Below are 21,176 nucleotides of genomic sequence, written 5' to 3'. Positions count from 1 at the left end.
CTATTTATATATAAATCATGCTGTCTTTGCAAATCATTATTTTAAGTTAGATAAAGGTATTTAAGGTCTTCTTAGGATTACTATGCAGGTTATGGCCGGGCATGGTGGCTCATGCCTGTAATACCAGCATTTTGGGAGGCTAAGGTGAGAGGATCACTTGAGCCCAAGAGTTCAAGACCAGCCTGGGCAACATAATGAGACCCCATCTCCAAGGAGAAAACCTTATAAAGCTATTTCAAGTGTAACAGCTTCATTTTAGAATTCAGCTGACAGGCGCAACAAGATAGTAACTCCTGCGGAGTATCTCATAGCTAGGTAATGTCAGAACAGACACTAGAACTAGTTTTCCAACATTGTTATATTCTCTTTACATTTAATCACCTTTGAAAGACTGTTGTTGAAACAAACAATTACAGAAAACAGCAAAACTAATACAGTTCTTATGAACTATGACAAATGTCATTATAACCATCATCATCCATGAAAGAGAACCTTGCTATCCACTTCAGAAGCCCACTATATCCCACCTCCTAATTATGCCTTCTTTCCTCCCCACCTCAAGAGTAATCACCATCCTAAAACTAATTTGTTGAAGAAACTGGATTTTTTTGTCCTGTAGATGTTCCCTCAGTTGCGATTTTATTGATTGCATTTCTGTAGTTGGTTGAACATTCCCCATTTCCCTTATGTTTCCTGGAAGTCAGTAGTTGTATCTAGAGCTCCTCTGCCCAATATGGTGGCCAGTAGCCACATGTAGTTACTTAAATTTAAATTCAATTACGTAAAATTAAAACTTAGTTCCTCAGATGTACTAGTCGTATTTCAGGTGCTCAGTAGTCACATGCAGTTAGTGTCTACCATATTATAATAGATGGTACAGATATAGAACATTTCTGACATCCTGGAAAGTTTTATTGGACATTTCTGATTTAGAAGCTTAATCAGATTCAAATCTGATTTTTAGGAGGAAGAAGACTAATTCATATATAGCCTTGTACTTTCTGGTTGCCTATTTCTGTTGTTAACCACTATGGCATTCAATGTTAGATCCTTAATACATTAGGTGTTGCAAACTGGAGATACTCACTTTTATCATTCTTCATTTTTTTTTTTTTTTGTTGGAATACATAACTTTTATTTTCACTAGTTTTATAAATAAACTTAGACTTTTTGTTGTTTAACTTTGTTGACTTGATTACAATTAAGTATAATTGCATCTTTTTGCAATTAAGTTGCCTTAATCGAGTTGATTATATTGATTAAAATATTTAAGGTCCAAAATTGACAATAGTTTGTTGCAGAGCTGTATATTATCTTAAATTTTAGCATCACAGCGGGTATAAACATACTAATTCGGTGGCCAAGTATCATAGTTAGATAACCTAATTAACTGGAAGCTAAGGTAGACACAAAGCTGCATTTCCTGGTTATTCTCTGATATAGTCATATTGTAGAATCTAGTCTGTTACCTACCATTTGTGTGGTATTCACAGTGCAATATGCAATCCCAGGTGTATGCATTCACTGTGAAGGGGACAGTTTAGGCAGAAGCCAATCAGTGATCTGAGGAACAGAAAGAGAAAGTGATTAAAAGTGCCAAATATTCAATCCATACTATATTGTTTCAGAGTTGATATATTTTCCCTTTTTCATCTATTCAAGACAAATATATGGATCACCAGTATTGTGCTATAAGTACTGTGCTTTGTGCAGCTATCCAATTATTAGTAAGTTATGATTCTTCAGGTGCTTCAGAATCAAGTTAGGAGAGATATAATCAAGGTATAGTGGCTATGCCAAAGGATACCTCATCTTACCATGTGGGATTCAGAGAACATTTCCTAACAGAGATCACAACCGATGGAAAGTAGAATTAGCCAGGGAATGGGATGTGGGGAACAAGGGACAATATAGGCAGAAGCCAATCTGTGATCTGAGGAACAGCAAATGGTTAGTTCGTGACAGATAAGGCTGGAGAGAGAAAACTGAGTCAGATTACAAAGGACCTTGTGTATCATGCTGAAGAGTTTAAAATATTGAAAAGTGGGGACTTTTGTTTCTTCTATTGTTGTCTATTGTCTATTCCCAGCACTCCAATCAGGGACTTTCAGAGAATAAGTATTCAATAAATATTGAATGAATAAATGAAAATCCTAAGCTAGTGACTGATAAGTATTTTAGAAAACTCACTCTAAGGAGTGGAGAATGAATTGAAGTAAGGGAAAGCTGGGTGGATGCAGGGAGCCCAATTATATAACCGCTGGCAAAACTTAGATGTAAAATTATAGTGGAAGTTGGCAGTAGGAGGCAAGTGCATAAAACGAAGTAGGAAGTAAAAGAAGTAGGATTTGTAGATTTGGAGGCATAGGGGTAAAGGTTAGGATAATTTTCAGGCTGACTCCCAAGTTTCTGACCAGAGCTGTTGAGTTGATGGTAGTGCTGGTCCCTGAGCTAAGGAATGCCAAAATTGTGAGATGAGAGGAGAGAAGATTATTTTAATTTCAGGCCTATTGAGTTTGAGGTGCCTATGGGATGTCCAAACAGAAATGGATACCACTGTATTTGGGCTTATTGCTTTAGAATGCAGATAAAAGATAAGAACTTGAAGCTGATTTGATAGTCTTTGCATACAGAAACCACTAATATAGAGATCTGTTAAGGTGATTGTGTATCTCAGAGTTTATAAACTCATGAGCCTATGATGCCATAGGTGTAACTAGGCTGTAATTAGTGGGGTCTAAGTGCAGATATATTCGTTAATGTAAGTTGTAAGGATTGTAACAAACTGAAGATCTCGCCTTCTCAGTTCCAGCCATTTGTTACCACATGATAACACTGGCCCAGTATGTCAGGATCTTCTGATTTTTCAAGAGAAACCAAGAATCTGAATTTTTATGTAAAAGGTTGACCCAAAACTCTTTTAGGTGTATGTTTGTGTATGTGTGTCTGGATCCCTCCAGACAATTTTCTAGGCATTTGAAATATACCTGTGTGAACAAGAACAAAGCCACTCTTTATAATCTTATAATCCAGAAGAATATGGAATTATTGATTATTGAATTCTTTTAAGAGGTAGGAGAATAAGGGTGAGAGATTGACCTTAAATATTATTAAAGACAGTCTTTCATTATGGAGAGTTGTAAAGGAAGTCTGGATGAATATATAGATGCAGGGGGCACTGTTGTAGGCTCATTTGGTCCTCTCAGGTAGCAAATTGTAATCCATAGTGTAGGATCAGAAGACACAAAGGCTGAGGAAAGACTACTAGCTCCTAGACTTTTAAGGAATGGGCAGAGGAAGGGAAACCAATAAGCTACCAACAGTGTAAGAGAAGATCAGAGCAGGATATCACAAAAGCTGGGGTAAGAGAATATTTCCAGAAAGAGAAAGTGATTAAAAGTGCCACATATTGGCCGGGCATGGTGGCTCACGCCTGTAATCCCAGCACTTTGGGAGGCCGAGGCAGGCGGATCACAATATCAGGAGATTGAGACCATCCTGGCTAACAGGGTGAAACCCCGTCTCTACTGAAAATACAAAAAAATTAGCCGGGCGTGGTGGCAGGTGCCTGTAGTCCCAGCTACTCGGGAGGCTGAGGCAGGAGAATGGCGTGAACCTGGGAGGCGGAGCTTGCAGTGAGCCTAGATGGTGCCACGGCACTCCATCCTGGGCAACAGAGTGAGACTGTCTCAAAAAAAGAATAAATAAATAAAAATTAAATTAAATTTTAAAAAGTGCCACATACCCACAAAGGTCAAGAAAAACAGTCATAAATTGTCCATTTATTTATATTGAAGGTTATTCATTATCTTGGTGAGAACAGCTTCTAAATAGAGATGAGAATAGGTATTAAAGTAGATTGAGACTGAATGGAAAGGGTAAAACAAGAGACAGAGTATATCTAACAGCCTGATTAGCCTTATTTCTATTCAACAAACCAATTAGTCACTCTCCTACTTCCAGGTATGTACATTGCTCTTCTCTCTGCCTGGAACAGTTTCCTCCAAGTATCTACATGGCTTGCTCCTTGGCCCTTCTCCAGGTCCACATCATTTGACAAGGCCTTCCCTGAATATGCTTTTTAAATTGCAAACATCCCCACCCCACTACCGTGGTGCCCAGTTCATCCTTCCCTATTTTATTTTTCTCTGCAGCACTTATTCCCTCCTAATATATAATTTTCTTACCTGTTGTATTTATTGTTTTTGTTTTTCCGCTAGAAACAAAGCTCTATGGTAGGAGGAATTTTCAGATATTTCATTCTTAGGTTCAATTCATTGCTGTATGTCTAGCACCTACAATTGTAACTGCAGCATTGTGATGCTCAGCAAGTGTTTGTTAAATTAAACAATTCAGGAGACTTGGCTGTTATGGCAAGGGGATGTAGCAGTAGCTAGAGGAGAGTGTGAAGGAGAGCACTTTCTTTTTAACAGTAGTGTAAACTTGAGCATATTTAAATGGAGCATGGGAAGGAGATCAGAGTAGGAACAGCCCCACATCTATTCATTCAAATAAATAAAATTTCTGAGCGCATTCTATGGGCCAGAGAATTTTCTAGGCATTTGAAATATACCTGTAAACAAGAACAAAGCCATTCTTTATAATCTTATAATCCAGAAGAATATGGAATTATTGATTATTGAATTCTTTTAAGAGGTAGGAGAATAAGGGTGAGAGATTGACCTTAAATATTAGTAAAGACAGTCTTTCATTATGGAGAGTTGTAAAGGAAGTCTGGATGAATGTATAGATGCAGGTAATTTTACCCTGAACCATCTAATTCTTTCTTGCTTTTTCTCTTGCACAGTAGCATAACCAGGGATAGAAATATATTCTGGATTAAATAGGTTTTCTGGTGTCTTAAAGTATAACCCAGATACTTTTATCTTAACACAAAGCAGAAACTCCAGATAAGAACATGTCGTGAACCTGAAGCCCTGTATTATAGTAGCTAGCAGAACCACTCCCAATATTCTTAGATTTGGCATTGGCAGCATATCCTTTCTTTTCCTAAAGTACTAACTCTACTACTCTCCTAAGAAAATTATTTCACATCTCGTCTCTACTCAGATCTCCAGCTTTTCCTTATTCTTGTACTTAGCTAATGGCCTTGCTTCCTAAAAATCAGAAGAGAACATCTATTCTCTTTCACCACCATAGCTACTAACTTGTCTGCATCAGAGTAGAGTATCACAAAAACTGGGGGAGGAGGATATTTCAAGAAAGAGAAAGTGATTAAAAGTGCCAAATATTGCTGGGCACGGTGGCTCACGCCTGTAATCCCAGCACTTTGGGAGGCTGAGGCGGGGGGATCACGAGGTCAGGAGATCGAGACCATTCTGGCTAACATGGAGAAACCCCGTCTCTACTAAAAATACAAAAAATTACGGGCGGGCGCCTGTAGTCCCAGCTACTCGGGAGGCTGAGGCAGGAGAATGGCGTGAACCCGGGAGGAGCCGAGATCACACCACTGCACTCCAGCCTGGGTGACAGAGCAAGACTCCATCTCAAAAAAAAAAAAAAAGTGCCAAATATTGAGAAAGGTCACAAAAAAGTCATAAATTGTCCATTGTATTTATTTTGAAGGCTACTCATTATCTTGGTGAGAATAGCTTCTAAGTAGAGAATAGTACCTATAAACCCTGCCTTCCTTCTGATGATGTAAATGGACATCATGAGCTAACGCTCTTATCTAATGCTAGTCCCTCGATCCTATCTCTTCCTGCCTACTTAAGAATATGACTTGGTCGGGTGTGGTGACTCATGCCCGTAATCCCAGCAATTTGGGAGGCCCAGGTGGGTGGATCACTTGGGTCAAGAGTTCGCTACCAGCCTGGCTAACACGGTGAAACCCCGTCTCTACTAAAAATGCAAAAATTAGCCGGGCATGGTGGCACATGCCTGTAGTCCCAGCTGCTTGGAAGGCTGAGGCAGGAGAATCGCTTGAACCTGGGAGGCGAAGATTGCAGTGTGCCGAGATTGCGCCATTGCACTCCAGCCTGGGCGACAGAGACTGAGTCTCCAAAAAAAATTATGATTCCAACAATTCTCTTATCTTTTCTACATCAATTTTTACCTTTTTGTAGTCATTATCATTGTTATGTAAACATATTTAGATATCTCCTCTAAAAACAACCCTCTTACACCGGGCGTGGTGGCTCACGCCTGTAATCCCAGCACTTTGGGAGGCCAAGGCGGGTGGATTCCCTGAGGTCGGGAGTTCAAGACCAGCCTGACCAACATGGAGAAACCCCATCTGTACTAAAAATACAAAATTAGCTGGGCGTGGTGGCACATGCCTGTAATCCCAACTACTCGGGAGGCTGAGGCAGGGGAATTGCTTCAACCCAGGAGGCGGAGTTTGCAGTGAGCCAAGATCACACCATTGCGCTCCAGCCTGGGCAACAAGAGCGAAACTGCGTCTTTTAACTACATTATCTACATGGTAGCCACCATCCCACTTTTCTTTTTTTTATAGCCAACTTACTTGAAAAGTGACATACCAGGTATCTTCCACCGTCTTCTTTCATTCTCTCTTGAGCTCACTCCAGTCATACTTTTGCATTCATCATGCTAACAGAACAACTCTTCTCAAGGTCAGTGGGGTCTTCCTAATAGTGACTTCTCAGTTCTCACCTTATTTCATAGCAGGATTTGACTTAGTTGATTACTCTCTTGAGAAAATGTCTTCATTTGGCTTCTGTGACACCACATGCTGTATTTTCCTTATTGAACTGGCTACTCTTTCTCAGCCTCCTTTGTTCCTTTTTCCATTCTAATTGCTGAGACCGTTAAAAGTTTGGAGTGCTCAAGGGATTACTCCCTACTTGTTCTCATCCAGCCTTGTGGCTTTAAATGGTGTCAGAGTCCAAGTACATCCTCCCTTGAATTCCAGACTTACGTATCCAGCTGTCTAATTGACATCTCTGCTTGAGTGTTAAGCACCCCACATTTAACGTGTCCAGAAAAACTTCCTGATTCCCTGACCTTGCGAACTGCTCCTTCCTGTCTTCCTCATTTCAGTCCTGAACAATTCTGTTATTCCTAGTTGTTTAAGTGAAAAATTTAGAGTCATCCTAGACTCTTCTTTTTTTCTTACACTCTAAATGCAGTCCACCAACAAATTTTCCCAGTGTTAACTAAAAATTATGTATAGACTCTAATCACTTCTCACCACTTGTACCATTTACTGACCTGGTCCAAACTGCCATCATCTCCAATCTTGATTATTTCAGTAGTCTCCTAACTGGTATCCCAGCTTCTGCCATTGTCCCCCTACTGTCTGATCTTAATACAGCAGCCAGAATGATCTTTCTAAAACACCAGAGTACCAGAATAAAAGTCAAAGTCCTTGTATTGCCTTGGAAAGCCTTACAGTATCTGTTGTTCTCTTCCCCCTACTTTTCTTCTACTGTTGTCTTAGCAGAGAGGCCTCCTTGATCAACCTGTAATAAAAGTGATCATATTCATAACTTTCCATATTTTATCTTGTATTATTCTCTGTGGCATACTATATAGCACTTGTTCATTTTTTAAATTGCCTGTACGGCCCCACTAATGCATGCTCCCTGAGGGCAGGAACTTTGTTACTGCTGTGTCTCTTTATTTATTTATTTATTTATTTATTTATTTATTTATTTATTTATTTATTTATTTTTGAGACGGAGTCTTGCACTGTCACCTCAGCCTCCCAAGTAGCCGGGATTACAGGCACACACCACCACACCTGGCTAATTTTTTGTATTTTTAGTAGAGATGGGGTTCCACTACGTTGGCAGACTGGTCTCCAACTCCTGACCTCATGATCTGCCCGCCTCAGCCTCCCAAAGGGCTGGGATTATGGGGGTGAGCCACTGCTTCCGGCCTGCTGTATCTCTTAATTCCTAGAACAGCGTGATGCATAGTAAACATAGTGTAGTACTTAGTAAACCTTCAAGTAAATAGCTGTTGGGTGAATTAATGAATTTTCTGTGTGTATGTGTGTGTGTGTGTGTGTGTGTGTGTGTGTGTGTGTGTATGTTTACTATATGTCTCCCTCTTGAGGCTTCAGGCAGAAAATTTGAATTGTAATACTCACTAGAAAATAGGAGGTGGAAGTTACTCATTCAGAACATATTTATTGAGCACCTACTCTGTTCAGGGAATACAGTAGTGACTAAGAGAGCTTATCCAAGAGAGGCTCTTTGAGAAGAGTAGGCAAACTGGAGTTGTCTTGGTCTGAATGTCAGTTCTGAAATGTTTTAGTATCATTTCCAGGGAGCATTCTCAGATTAGTTTGTAGTGATTTGCAAATCTCTTATAAGTTTTCATAATCTCATTTAATTTCAGAGCTGGAAGGGACTAGTTTAACCATCTCATTTTACAGATTTGATGAAACTGAACTGCAGGAAGTGTAAGGGACTTGCCCAGTGTCTCTACTCAATTAGTTAATGATAAAACAGAGATAAAGTTCTGGGTCTAGCCTGCTGATTAACAAGTCAATGACTTTTCCACTATGCCACGCTGCCTTCCATTCCAAATCTGCAAGAAATTTCTTTTCAAAAGCAGACTATTTGCTATTGCTTTATGACCTTTTTTAGTTAAGCACAATATGGGATAGAAAACTAAATAGTTCTTTTATAATTTTTCAACATGTGAGAGGTTAAATTCATTACTTTTATAGAAAGTTTGCAATGGATTTAAATTTATTTTAAGCAATAAAATAATTCTTTTTATCATTTAAAGTTAATTGTGTTTTTAAGAATATGATTAAGTTGGAAGGATGAACTGAATTTGTTTACATCAGTTTCTCTTAAAAAATTGTTGCAGAGAAACTCTTGCTACTCAGTTGGATCTAGCAGAAACAAAAGCTGAGTCTGAGCAGTTGGCGCGAGGCCTTCTGGAAGAACAGTATTTTGAATTGACGCAAGAAAGCAAGAAAGCTGCTTCAAGAAATAGACAAGAGATTACAGATAAAGATCACACTGTTAGTCGGGTAAGTGTGATAGTCAGGTAAGTTATATAAAATTTATTTAAATCACAATAGGTCACATCTTAAAATATTAGGGTAAGTGTGTGTGCAAGTGTATTTACTTCTATGTTAATACATAGTGGTCATTCTGTACTCATGTATAAAATAGTTTGTATAATACCAAACATTTGTTAATTATTGAAATTCTTGTTCAAGATATTGGGCTTTTGTTTGTATAGGCACAGAACCAATGCAATATTGGGCTGTTTTTCTGGCTGTAGATCTTATTAGTTATATTTCATATGAAGTAATGGCTTAGCTTAAATTCATTTGTTGTTCTCTTAATACATTGCAACTGATTTTATGGGCCAGAATTCTGTGAAATATAGAGAAACCATTTGGGAATGAGGAATTCTTGGGATAATATATAAATCCATTATAAGAAAACCAATACTCCAAACAATTACCTATTCCTGAGGTTTATACTGTAATCTATATAGAATCATGCGACTAAAAAGAGGAGTTAGATTTTTCTTGTAAAGCCACTATCAGTCACTCTGGGTTCCAGTTTTGCCCCTAAGAAGTTATATGGTCTTGGCAAAGTTGGCTTTAACTTCTCTAAGCCTCAGATTTCTCATCTATAAAATAGAAATAGTAATATCTCTTCCACATGATTGTTATGAGGATTAAATAAGACAGTAGACATAGAATGATTAATATAACATATAACAAGTAATGATTATATATTACTAAAAGTAATCTATAAATAAATGTTTTTATTATCGTTTTCATCATCAATATTCAGATAAAGATATTGAAGTCCAGAAAAAGTATGACTTGCTCGGGGTCACATACTAGGTTAATCGCAGAGCTAGAACTAAATACAAATTTCTTAGTTTGCAATCTAGTTATCTTGCCATTACATATGCCCCCCTTTTGTTCATACATATATCTATATGCATACAATGAAATAATTTTTGGATGCTGTTAACTACTTTTAAATATTTTTGATGTAATTACATATTTTAAGCTGGAAACCAGACATTTGCTGTAGTTCAGCAGTGTCTGACCTGTCTTTATCTAGCAGTATATTTAAAGGTTACTGCCTGAAATACGAGAATAGCAAAGAGGCTGGAGCTTAAACTTTTGTGTGCTTTGTTTAGCTTGAAGAAGCAAACAGCATGCTAACCAAAGATATTGAAATATTAAGAAGAGAGAATGAAGAGCTAACAGAGAAAATGAAGAAGGCAGAGGAAGGTATGTAGAATTTTTAAAAAATCATCATGTTAAATCAAATTCAGTGATTTATCTTTACCTATGTTGTGTTAGGTTTCTAAGATACCTGTTTTCATATATTAAGTAACTTCTGTAGCCTTAAGAATTATCTTAATGAAGTTACTGAAAGTTACTATGTAATGTATACTTATTTGAATAATTAAAGACATTGTTAGTTTGAAATGCAGAAATTAAATTAATACCATACAATAACATTTAATATAATTTGTTGACAGAATATAAACTGGAGAAGGAGGAGGAGATCAGTAATCTTAAGGCTGCCTTTGAAAAGAATATCAACACTGAACGAACCCTTAAAACACAGGTATACATGCTTTCGATCTTTTCCACATGTTCATTTTTGAGTTAATCATTGCTCTTTATGCACTTTTTCCTAAAACCAAGGCTTATAAGGTTCAAGCTTTTCATCAGAACAAATAAATTCTCTCCCCGCTAACTATAAAAAACTTATTTGTGAAATAGAATTTCAAGGCCAGGCGCGGTGGCTCATGCCTGTAATCCCAACACTTTAGGAGGCTGAGGCCAGCAGAACACTTAAGGCCAGGAGTTCGAGAGCAGCCTGGCTGACATCGAAACCCCAGTCTCTACTAAAAATACAAAAATTAGCCGGGCGTGGTGGTGCGCTCCAGTAATACCAGCTAGTCAGGTGGCTGAGGCACGAGAATTGCTTGAACCCAGGAGGCAGAGGTTGCAGTGAGCAAAGATCATGCCACTGCATGCCAGCCTGGGCGACAGAGCAAGACCCAGTCTCAAAAAAAAAAAAAGAAATAGGATTTCAGTTAAGAAAGCTAACTTGCCTAGTAATATTGTATAGTTGTAGAAGATAAGAGTATGTGGCCAAGGCATAGAAGCTTTATTTGCTAGTACCCAACATCAGAGTAGGATTAGCATACTCTTGATTCAGTACTGGGTTGTAAAGTTAACCAAAGAAAGGCTCCTGGTTCTTACATTTAAGTAGTGTGATAAGTCAGTGTTAGTTACTTGTGCTACCAGTTATCATGTCTCAACCATCATGAAGTTGTCCTAATTTTCATACACACAGAAAGTCCTGCTTCCTGATTTTGAAGAAAAAAATACATTTTAGTATTAAATTGGATGACTACACTATTGATCTTTATTAATAATATTTTAATAGGCTGTTAACAAATTGGCAGAAATAATGAATCGAAAAGATTTTAAAATTGATAGAAAGAAAGCTAATACACAAGATTTGAGAAAGAAAGAAAAGGAAAATCGAAAGCTGCAACTGGAACTCAACCAAGAAAGAGAGAAATTCAACCAGATGGTAGTGAAACATCAGAAGGAACTGAATGACATGCAAGCGGTAAGGTTTCTGTGTGTGTATGGATATGAGTGTGAAGGATTATTTTCTTAAATTATTTCTGTATATACTTGTTATCTATTTATCTTGTTTAGATTGGGAACAATCAAGGGTTCTGCCTGTTTGGTTTCAGACTGAAATTGGGATATGGCTGTTATAATATTAACTATAATTGGGGTAGAGGTTTTGAAGTATTGTAGCTTATTTATTTTCTCTAGTCAAGACTCACTTTTTTGAAATCAAAATAACAAGCTTAATTTTTTGATACCCCTTGGCTTGTTAATAGAACAAAATTGAGAACCTGGTCTCGGGCACTTAGATCTAAGCTTTTTAGCTCCATCAGTTATGGTTTTCTGAAGTTTTCTATACCTTTAAAGCTACTTCATTTGGAGCCAGAAAAGCATTTTCTTTTGTTGTAACTTTTTTGTTTTGATGGCTTATGTTTGAAAACAAAAACAAAAACTCTTTTTAAGGCAAGGAGAAAAGGAATTTGTCCGAGCATTGTATTACTGAGAAAGAACTTGACATTTCTGTAGTGTATCAAAATCTGTGGTAGCAAACATTCATGAAGTTTACTGTACATTTTTAGTATTAGCAATTTAAATTATCATATTTCAATTAGTAATGTTGGAAATTGTTTTAGCTTGATTATATTATCTTGATACTTTTCAAAATTAGCAATTGGTAGAAGAATGTGCACATAGGAATGAGCTTCAGATGCAGTTGGCCAGCAAAGAGAGTGATATTGAGCAATTGCGTGCTAAACTTTTGGACCTCTCGGATTCTACAAGTGTTGCTAGTTTTCCTAGTGCTGATGAAACTGATGGTAACCTCCCAGGTAAGAATAATTCTGTATCATTCAAACATGTATAAATGTCATGGAAATTAGTGTATATTTCTTTCATTTGGTTTTCTACCTCCTTGTCATTTTGTCCATGGATTCCTAAGAAGGAATTCTTATTTCTGATAGCCAAGGCCTGATGATGATTATACACTTGGTGTATTTTGTGGAGTAGAGCAGTTGTAAGCAATCTTAGGCTATTTAAATAGACCTAAGAAGCTTTACCTGAATAAAAACCATAAGAGGTTTATGAACCTATTTTGAGCAGCCTAAGTCCACAGTGAGAGTCAAAGCTGCTACTACACATCTCACTATTTTTTAAAAGTTGTACATTTTTGTGAGTAATAGCTCTTTAACATTTTATGTATTCTTGTGCTAAAACTAAGAACTGTACTTTATCATCAGAACCACAGCAGCTACATATAGAACCCTATCTAGTGGAGTAGTGATCAACTTCAGTCAGACTTTGCTAAGTTTTAAGTTTGGGGAAATAGATAAAATGGGTTGGGCAGTGCAGTAAGAGGCCGGGGGTGTCAAATAAAGGCAGGAATGAGTGGCTAAGATTTGAGACTTTTTTCTGTGTCTTCTTTTTCCCAGTGGAGAATCAATTTAAAAATAAACACAACCTCATTCTTGGTTTAATCGTCATGTAAACTATAATACCTTTATGTACTTTACAGAGATGAGAAATACACATACTATAAGTTCAATTTAGAAATAAAATGAGTAGGTTATCATTATTAAAACATGCATTTACATATACACAGAGTCTTAGTTCAGAGTCTTGGAAGTTTTGTATACATGATAATACACTTGAAAATAGATTTTAATTAGTGTATTTTCTGAATAATACATAAATAGGAAGATATTTATGAAGCAGCATGTTTGATATTGGGATTCTGTTTTAACAGATATTACTTGTTATTGTGAATTTGATATAAGGAACTAGAGGAGTCACTCAGAAAATTTTATAGTATCTTTCTTGGTCAAGAAAGTGGGACTCAAAGTGGGAAATGAATTCAGCTCCTCTCTGTATGCTATGTGATCCCTGGCCTCATTCTTGTGTGGCTTTGCTAGGTCAAAATCAGGTATCTGGGAATGGAAAGGCAGCGAAGAAATATTTCTTATTTTAGTGGTCAAGGAACTCCTCTGTTTACCTATTTTTGGCTCTCTGAAACTGCCTACCTCTTGAGAAACTTGCAGGTACACACGATTCATTATTGTAGGATCACTTTGAATTTAATAAGAACCTGTAGCTTTAGTTATTGTTTGAACATCTTTCTAAAGTTAGACTTAATCATCACTAAGAATATGACTTTTAGAAGTGTTTGGCTACATTCTTTCAATTGTTGAACTGAATTGGTAGGTTAGATTCCCACTTCATTAACCCTGAGATACTTCTGGAGTTATTTAGTATAGGGATTCTTACTCTATGTATGTATGTATGTATACATTCTTACTCTATGTATATATGTATGTATGTATGTATGTATGTATGTATGTATGTATATATGTATGTATGTATGTATGAAACAGTCTCACTCTGTTGCCCAGGCTAGAGTGCAGTGGCGTGATCTTGGTTCATGATCCTGCCTCCTGGGCTCAAGCGATCCTCCTGCCCCAACCTCCTGAGTAGCTGGGACTACAGGTGCACATCACCACACCCGGCTAATTTTTTTAATTTTTTGTAGAGACGGGATTTCACCATATTGCCCAGGCTGGTTTTGAACTCCTGAGCTCAAGCTATCTGCCTGCCTTGGCCTTCCAAAGTGCTGAGATTACAGGCATGAGCCACCCGCCTGGCCGACCTTGCTCTATTTAGTGTCAGTTCGAAATCCTGACCAATTTTATTTTTATTCCACCCATTTCCCTTTAACTATTTATAATGCCTTATATGCACCTTAGTGTTCTTAGTATTGGGTTAAATATGTCAGAAATGGACACATTATTGGTGAATGCTAGTTAGAAGATTTGAGTTGAAAGGTGAGCTGGTGGGACTGCTAATGAGGAAAGTGATTAATTTTACCCACCATCGTGGCTGATTCAGAAAGGCTAAGCTCATAGTGCCATCAGCTGGCTTCATTGGCAGACTTAGGCTGGGAATCCATTTAGGTTTCAGAATCCTGACCTAATAAATTGACTTATTGAGCAAAGAGATTTTTAAATGTTTCTACTAGCTCCATTTTCAGTATATTTCTTAGAATATTAGTGTACTTTCAGGAATTTTGTTTTTAAGGTTATCAAAGTCCAAACCAAGTGGGGCGGGGAGTACTGGTAGCCATTCTCCCTTGCTAGAAGAGGCCAGTTAATACCTCTTTTCCTATTACTGTGTTCTTAATTTTGAGACTTTATAAAATCTCAACAGTGCTGAACCTTGACTTTCATATTGGAAGTAGAAATTAATGGATAGTCTTTGTCAATATTATTTACCTCTCTGTGGGTCAGATATTTTGCTAGTAAATTGAAAATCTGTATTAAATCCACCATTTACTAGATGCTCAAAAATGGTCCCTGGCAAATAAAGTTAAGGTTTTGCATTCATATCTAGGAAGAATTGTTAAAGAATGTTGATATTCATTCTTAATATTAGATAGTTACATATCATTCAAGTGTCTAAAAAATTTCTTGAAGGTAATGGCTAATGATTAATTTTTACTTCAGTTTAGAAAATAAGTAAATGAATATACGTACTAAAAAGGAGAGGGCTTTGAATAGATTAAGTTTACTCCAAGTTAAAATGATGGCTTTTTGAAATATGGGTCACATTTTTCAGTTTTTTTTTAAGTAGTTGGATGGATAAACTGACACTGCAACTTTTATTATTTCTCTTATATTTCATCATTCAGTATAAAGATTATAATTTAATTATCTTGCACATCTAGAACGCAGCCTCTATGAATCCTTAGTGGCCATTTTGTTATTAACTAGCTTAAATATTAAATCTCCCTTCTAAAATTCCCAATTCTAAAAACTTTATTTAAAAAATGTTACTCCTTCTCTGACTTATAACTCTTTGAAGTTCTTGAAGTCACCTTCATTCTCTTAATTCTTTTATGTCTTTATCTTCTCTTTGGTTCTGTAGCAGGTTGTGACCTAGCACACAATACAAACATAAAGATTACCCTTACGGTTATGGGTGCCTGTTGCCTAGATGACAAAAAACTTTAATGTGATAACTGTTTCTTTTCCTCATTCTTTCTCTTTCCTTCTTTTGGAACTGTTAACCTAGACATCTGAAGAGAATGTAGAAATAGATGATGGATTAGGAAAACTTGGTATTGATACTCCAGTAATATTCATTATCTCTTATGGATTATTTGTATCATACCCTTTTCCATCCAGCTTGACCTTAGGTTATGTAACTTAAACCTGAAAATGGTGGATCTCTTGGTGTGTTTCCCAATATTTGAATATATGAATGTTTCTGACCTTGCCCAAATCTAGTGATTTGAAGTTGGTGTATCTGACTTGTTGAGTATTAATTAATTTTCTTTTTTATATCACTTTTGAATTTAATTAAAGTGTTTTGAAATGGTTCTTTAGCCCTGTTTCTTAAGCAGTATGTTTGTGGTATAGCTAAATAAATTAGGTAGTCTTCAGAGGTTAGCTCTGATGTTTGAATTGGCTATATCGAGTATTGATGTACATGTAGTTAGATTGTCTCTTATTTGGGTAAAGAAATCGCTGATATTGCAGTAATATACATCTAACTTCTTATAAGTTAAAATTGTTCTACAAATATATTGTATAAAATTTAGAGCCAAGTTGTTTTTGTACATATGTAGAATATTATTAAGGATAATCCAGACTTAGAGGTTCTCTCAGTGGGAGTTTCATTTAGTTATCTGGAGAAGCTGTTTTCTGTGCTTGTGATATAAAAGATGGAATTTACAGCGTTATACCTCCAGATCACCACTTAAGTTACAGGTGGTCCCGATTTTAGAGGAGGTCTTTATATATTTTAAAAACTGGTAAGTATATTATCTTGCAACTATGGTAGGCGTAAGGAAAGGAAACGCAGGAGAAGCTAGTATGTATTTTTTTATCTGTTATTATTGAGCTTAGTTCAGTTGCTTCTCTGAGGGAATTCACCAGATGGAAAAACTAAAATTTTCTCCCATGACATTGTTGTAAATTGGCAAAAACCTTCACATATTCTTGACACCTTTATTTGCATTCCAGATTTCTTCATTTAATTTATTTTCTCCCTGACCCTCTTCATTTAATTTAAATATGAGCAAATGTAGAATTCTGGCTTATTTGACTCATAAGATTCCCTTGATATATAAAATTTCTAAGGAACACTGAAATGACAGATAAAGCCATACCATATAACAACTTATTGAAGATATATTAAAACTGGCAGGTTAACCCACATCTAGAGCCAGAAAGCATAAATATTTTTGACATTGATTGTCACAAAGAAATAATGTGAAAGTATAGGGTATTTTGGCATACAAATTTTGTGTAAATGTCAAGAATTCAAAGGCTTTTATATCTTTGTTTTTGGTGAGGAATTACTAATACTAAACAACTTTGTATTATCAGATATTAAGACTCCTTTTCATTCTCACTAATGTTCATCTTAATGTTTTCCAAACTACACTTTAAAACCAGAGCTGCAATTTCTACCACACTAATGGGAAAATTTCTGGCAATAACTTTTTTGCTTTTATAAGATAAAATATTGGTGAATGATCAATATGTGATCAACAGTCTTCTGCATGCTATTTAGTATAAAACTGCCTGTTTGGTTTTTAAACTGGAACCACTATTTACAAAGGATGACTTTAATTGGCTAATTCAGAAAAATGCAGAATTACAAAATAATCAACAAATATCTGTCAAGTACCACCTCGTTGTGTCATTTGCCATGGGATATATAAAATCAAGTGTTAAGATATGGTCCTTGCTCTCACAAAACTTACCAAGGAACTACCTAAGCAACAAAATAATTACTTCATGAACTAAATTGCAGCAATTAAAGCCAGGTGCTGTGGTACATGCCACTGCTTAGGAAGCTGAGGCTCAGGAGTTTGAGGCCAGCCTGGACAACGTAACAAGACTTCATGTCAAAAAAAAAAAAAAAAAAAAAGGAAAAAGAAAAATGTTGGGAGAAGAGAGGGATCATTTTGAACTAAAGTTACCTCACCATTTCCTCCATTTTAACAATTTATATGAAGAGGAATAACACAAGCAAAGGTGTGGAGACATTACGTACCTGGTGGGAGTAGGGGAAAAAAATATTTCCCACAATTCAGTCAACTGCAGAGCTTGTTTGCGAACAGAATAGTGTTGTGCTCTAGAAACATAAGCTCAGAAATTAGACTGCCGGGGTTTGAAACCATAGAGCTTTGATAGATACTGATAGAGTTGCCTTGCCCAAGTCCGTTTACCCTGCTAAGCCTTAGTCTCTTCTTTTGTAAGTGAAAGATGACAGTAGAACCTTTTCCGAATTCCTCGGAATATAATATCCTGTATTCATGGACTTATACATAGGTTAAATATGAGATATTATAAAGCATGTGGCAAATAGTAAATTTATGAATAAATAAATCAGTAAATGTTACCTATTGTTAACTGTTACTGTAAGACTGAGTTTATAGCTTTTAAATTATATGAAGGCGGACAATATATTGCCTTAGGATTACCATTTGAATGATAGTATAATCTCATATTTTAGTGTCATACTTTGAAATTGGTTATTTTTCTATTCTTTTGTGTTTCAAATATAAGGTAGATACGGAAAATAGTTAAATTGAATGGATTTTCTTATTTCCAACCTGATCTAAAATAACTATTTCTAATGGAGTTGTCTTTATCCCCCAGATATTTCTAGTAGACATTAGTTATATTTAAACAATAGTAATAATTATTATAAAATGCCTTGATCAAATAGTCAAGGAATTCCTGGTATGCACGTACTAGTTGAAATAATGGCAGTAGACCAAATGGATTCTGTGTTGTTTTTACTGTTGATCAAATTGTGATATCAGAAACTTAAGAGGCTTTAAAACTCTTTAGTTTGAGTAGAATTGCAATTGAACTTAGCACTAGAGTTAAGTGCTCCCCTCAACCAAATTTGGGCAATTTTATTGAAATAGTTACAAATTCAAATTGAAGTTGTTTTACCAAAAAGCTTAATCAGAATATTGTACTGAGAAAACAAATAAAATACTTGTCTCTTATTCTTTATATCTAGTTGATTCTGCCTGCATTCCTTATTTATTTATCTTCTATTCTTGTCTTCTGTGAGTAATAGGACACTTCTATACTTTTGCTTGCTCTTTCTTGTGTAAATCATGGCTCTGATTTGTTCCACTTGCTGCATTATTTTTTTCTTTCTTTTTTTTTGCTGATTATTTTTATATGAATGTTAAATGATAAAGTCTTCTACATCATATCCCATTTAAGCTGCAATCCATTCCAGTCTTGCCTGGCTCTTAAGGGTATTGTTACTTCATACTTTTGTAATTGATTACTAAATGTTAAATTGTATGGGAAAAGTGGCTTGGAATTTTTTTCTGCAATATTTGTATGGCCATTAAAGTTGATTTGTGTGATTGAAGCATGGAAGAGCAAATTATAGCACTTATTCATTTAGTTGTGTTCAATTGCTTGTTGCTGCATGCTGTCAGACAACTTTTAATAGTTTTTCTTTTGTTACAATTTAAGACTGACTAATACATATATTCTTTTTCTCCTAGAGTCAAGAATTGAAGGTTGGCTTTCAGTACCAAATAGAGGAAATATCAAACGATATGGCTGGAAGAAACAGGTACCATATACCTAATTATTTTCTAACTGGTATTTTGTTCTATATTTTACTTTGGAGCATAGAACTTATATTAGCTACTTTTTTTTACTAGCATTTATTTTACATTAATACAGTATAATCTAGATATTAGTGGCAAATATTATGCTTATCACTTTAAACCAAGTTAATGTTGCTCTTGTAACTCTTCCCCCCTTTTTCTTATTTCAGTATGTTGTGGTAAGCAGCAAAAAAATTTTGTTCTATAATGACGAACAAGATAAGGAGCAATCCAATCCATCTATGGTATTGGACATAGAGTAAGTTGCCTTTGATTGAATTTTAAAGGGGTTGAGAGCTAACTTTTGATAATTATTTTTAGACTTAAAATTTATTTTATATTTTGTGTTACTTCAGCACTGTTACCTACTTTTCTGTTTTTCTTAAGCATAAATGTTGACATTATATTAAATCTTCAGCAAAATGTGAGAAGGAAAAATGTATATACTTATTTCATGTATTTGGAAGACAACTTTTTTAGTTCAAGTGTTTAGTAGTTTGAGTTCAGAGAGCATTTCAAAAAGTATAGTCAGCTGTGTATCAGTGGGTTCCATATCCACAACTGTGGATAGAAAATATTTGAAAGAGGGCCGGGTGCGGTGACTCACACCTGTAACCCCAGCACTTTGGGAGGTCGAGGCAGGTGGATCACCTGAGGTCAGGAATTCAAGACCAGCCTGACCAACATGGTGAAACCCCATCTCTACTAAAAATCCAAAAATTAGCTGGGCGTGGTGGCAGGCGCCTGTAGTCCCAGCTACTCAGAAGGCTGAGGCAGGAGAATCACTTGAACCTGGGAGGCAGAGGTTGCAGTGAGCCTAGATTGCGCCACTGCACTCCAGCCTGGGCCACAAGAGCGAAACTCTGTCTCAAAAAAAAAATATATATATTATATGTATTATATATATTATATATAATATTATATATATTATATAATATATAATATATATATTTTATATAATATATATAATATATATATTATATAATATATATATAATATATATATTATATAAAATATATATATTATATAATATAAAATATAATATATATATTATATATTATATAAAATATATATATTATATATATTATATAAAATATATATATTATTTTTTATAAAATATATATATTATATATATTATATAAAATATATATATTATTTTTTATATAATATATATATAAAATATATAAAATATATATATATAAATAAATATATATATTTATATATATAATATATATATTTTATAACTATTAATAATAGAAATTTCTTTAAAAAATACAGTATAACAACTGTTTACATCGCATTTATACTGTATTATGTCTTATGAGTAATACAGAGATGATTTTAAAGCATACAGGAGGATGTGCCTAGGTTATATGCAAATACCACACCATTTTATATAAGAGCCTTGAGCATACTTGGACTTTGATATTTTTGGAGTTCCTGGAATCAGTTCCCTGTGGATATAAAAGAACAACTGTGTAGGATTCTTTGGTCATTATTAAGGGGAAATATAAATATATCTGTTCTTTTGTAATGATAGGTCAAAGAGGCCTATAATATAGTATTTTTTCTTATATTCATTCTAAAATCTTTTCTTAATTATTGCTGCTTATATTATCATAGATTATGTAGTATGTATAAAGATGAGTAAATTCCATCATTAAGGACCTTACCGACTAGCAGGAGAAAAGGCAAAACATATTCAACAAAATATATATTCAAAGTCAAGTCTGGTAACTGCTTTTTAAAAGAAATATATATATAAAATAAAGTATTATCATCCCTTTGGAATTAAGTATTTGTGGAGCTGGTTATAGTTAGAATGTGAAAAGAATTAAGCAAGTTCTAGAGAATACTCTTTCTTTATTTTCTGTTTTTTTAATAAACAGCTTTAGTTGTCAAAATTTAAATTATCAGCTTAAGCGAAATAATACATAAACACTAGTATGAAAG

The 21,176-nt window shown here is 35.2% G+C and overlaps 1 protein-coding gene across 1 annotated transcript in view; it reads left to right on the top strand.

Moving 5' to 3' along the window:
* The window catches only part of ROCK1 (Rho associated coiled-coil containing protein kinase 1), a 164,908-nt gene that overhangs the window by 132,492 nt on the left and 11,240 nt on the right, over positions 1–21,176 (top strand). Inside the window, exons 23-29 of the mRNA NM_005406.3 lie at positions 8,809–8,974; positions 10,114–10,207; positions 10,462–10,550; positions 11,382–11,570; positions 12,246–12,405; positions 19,116–19,186; positions 19,394–19,482. Of these exons, the coding sequence (NP_005397.1) occupies positions 8,809–8,974; positions 10,114–10,207; positions 10,462–10,550; positions 11,382–11,570; positions 12,246–12,405; positions 19,116–19,186; positions 19,394–19,482 (858 nt within the window). The remainder of the gene's footprint in view (positions 1–8,808; positions 8,975–10,113; positions 10,208–10,461; positions 10,551–11,381; positions 11,571–12,245; positions 12,406–19,115; positions 19,187–19,393; positions 19,483–21,176) is intronic.

The sequence above is a fragment of the Homo sapiens genome, chromosome 18 (assembly GCF_000001405.40).
Source record: "Homo sapiens chromosome 18, GRCh38.p14 Primary Assembly".
NCBI classification, from domain to species: Eukaryota; Metazoa; Chordata; class Mammalia; order Primates; family Hominidae; genus Homo; species Homo sapiens.
This window is presented reverse-complemented; position numbering and strand designations above follow the sequence as displayed.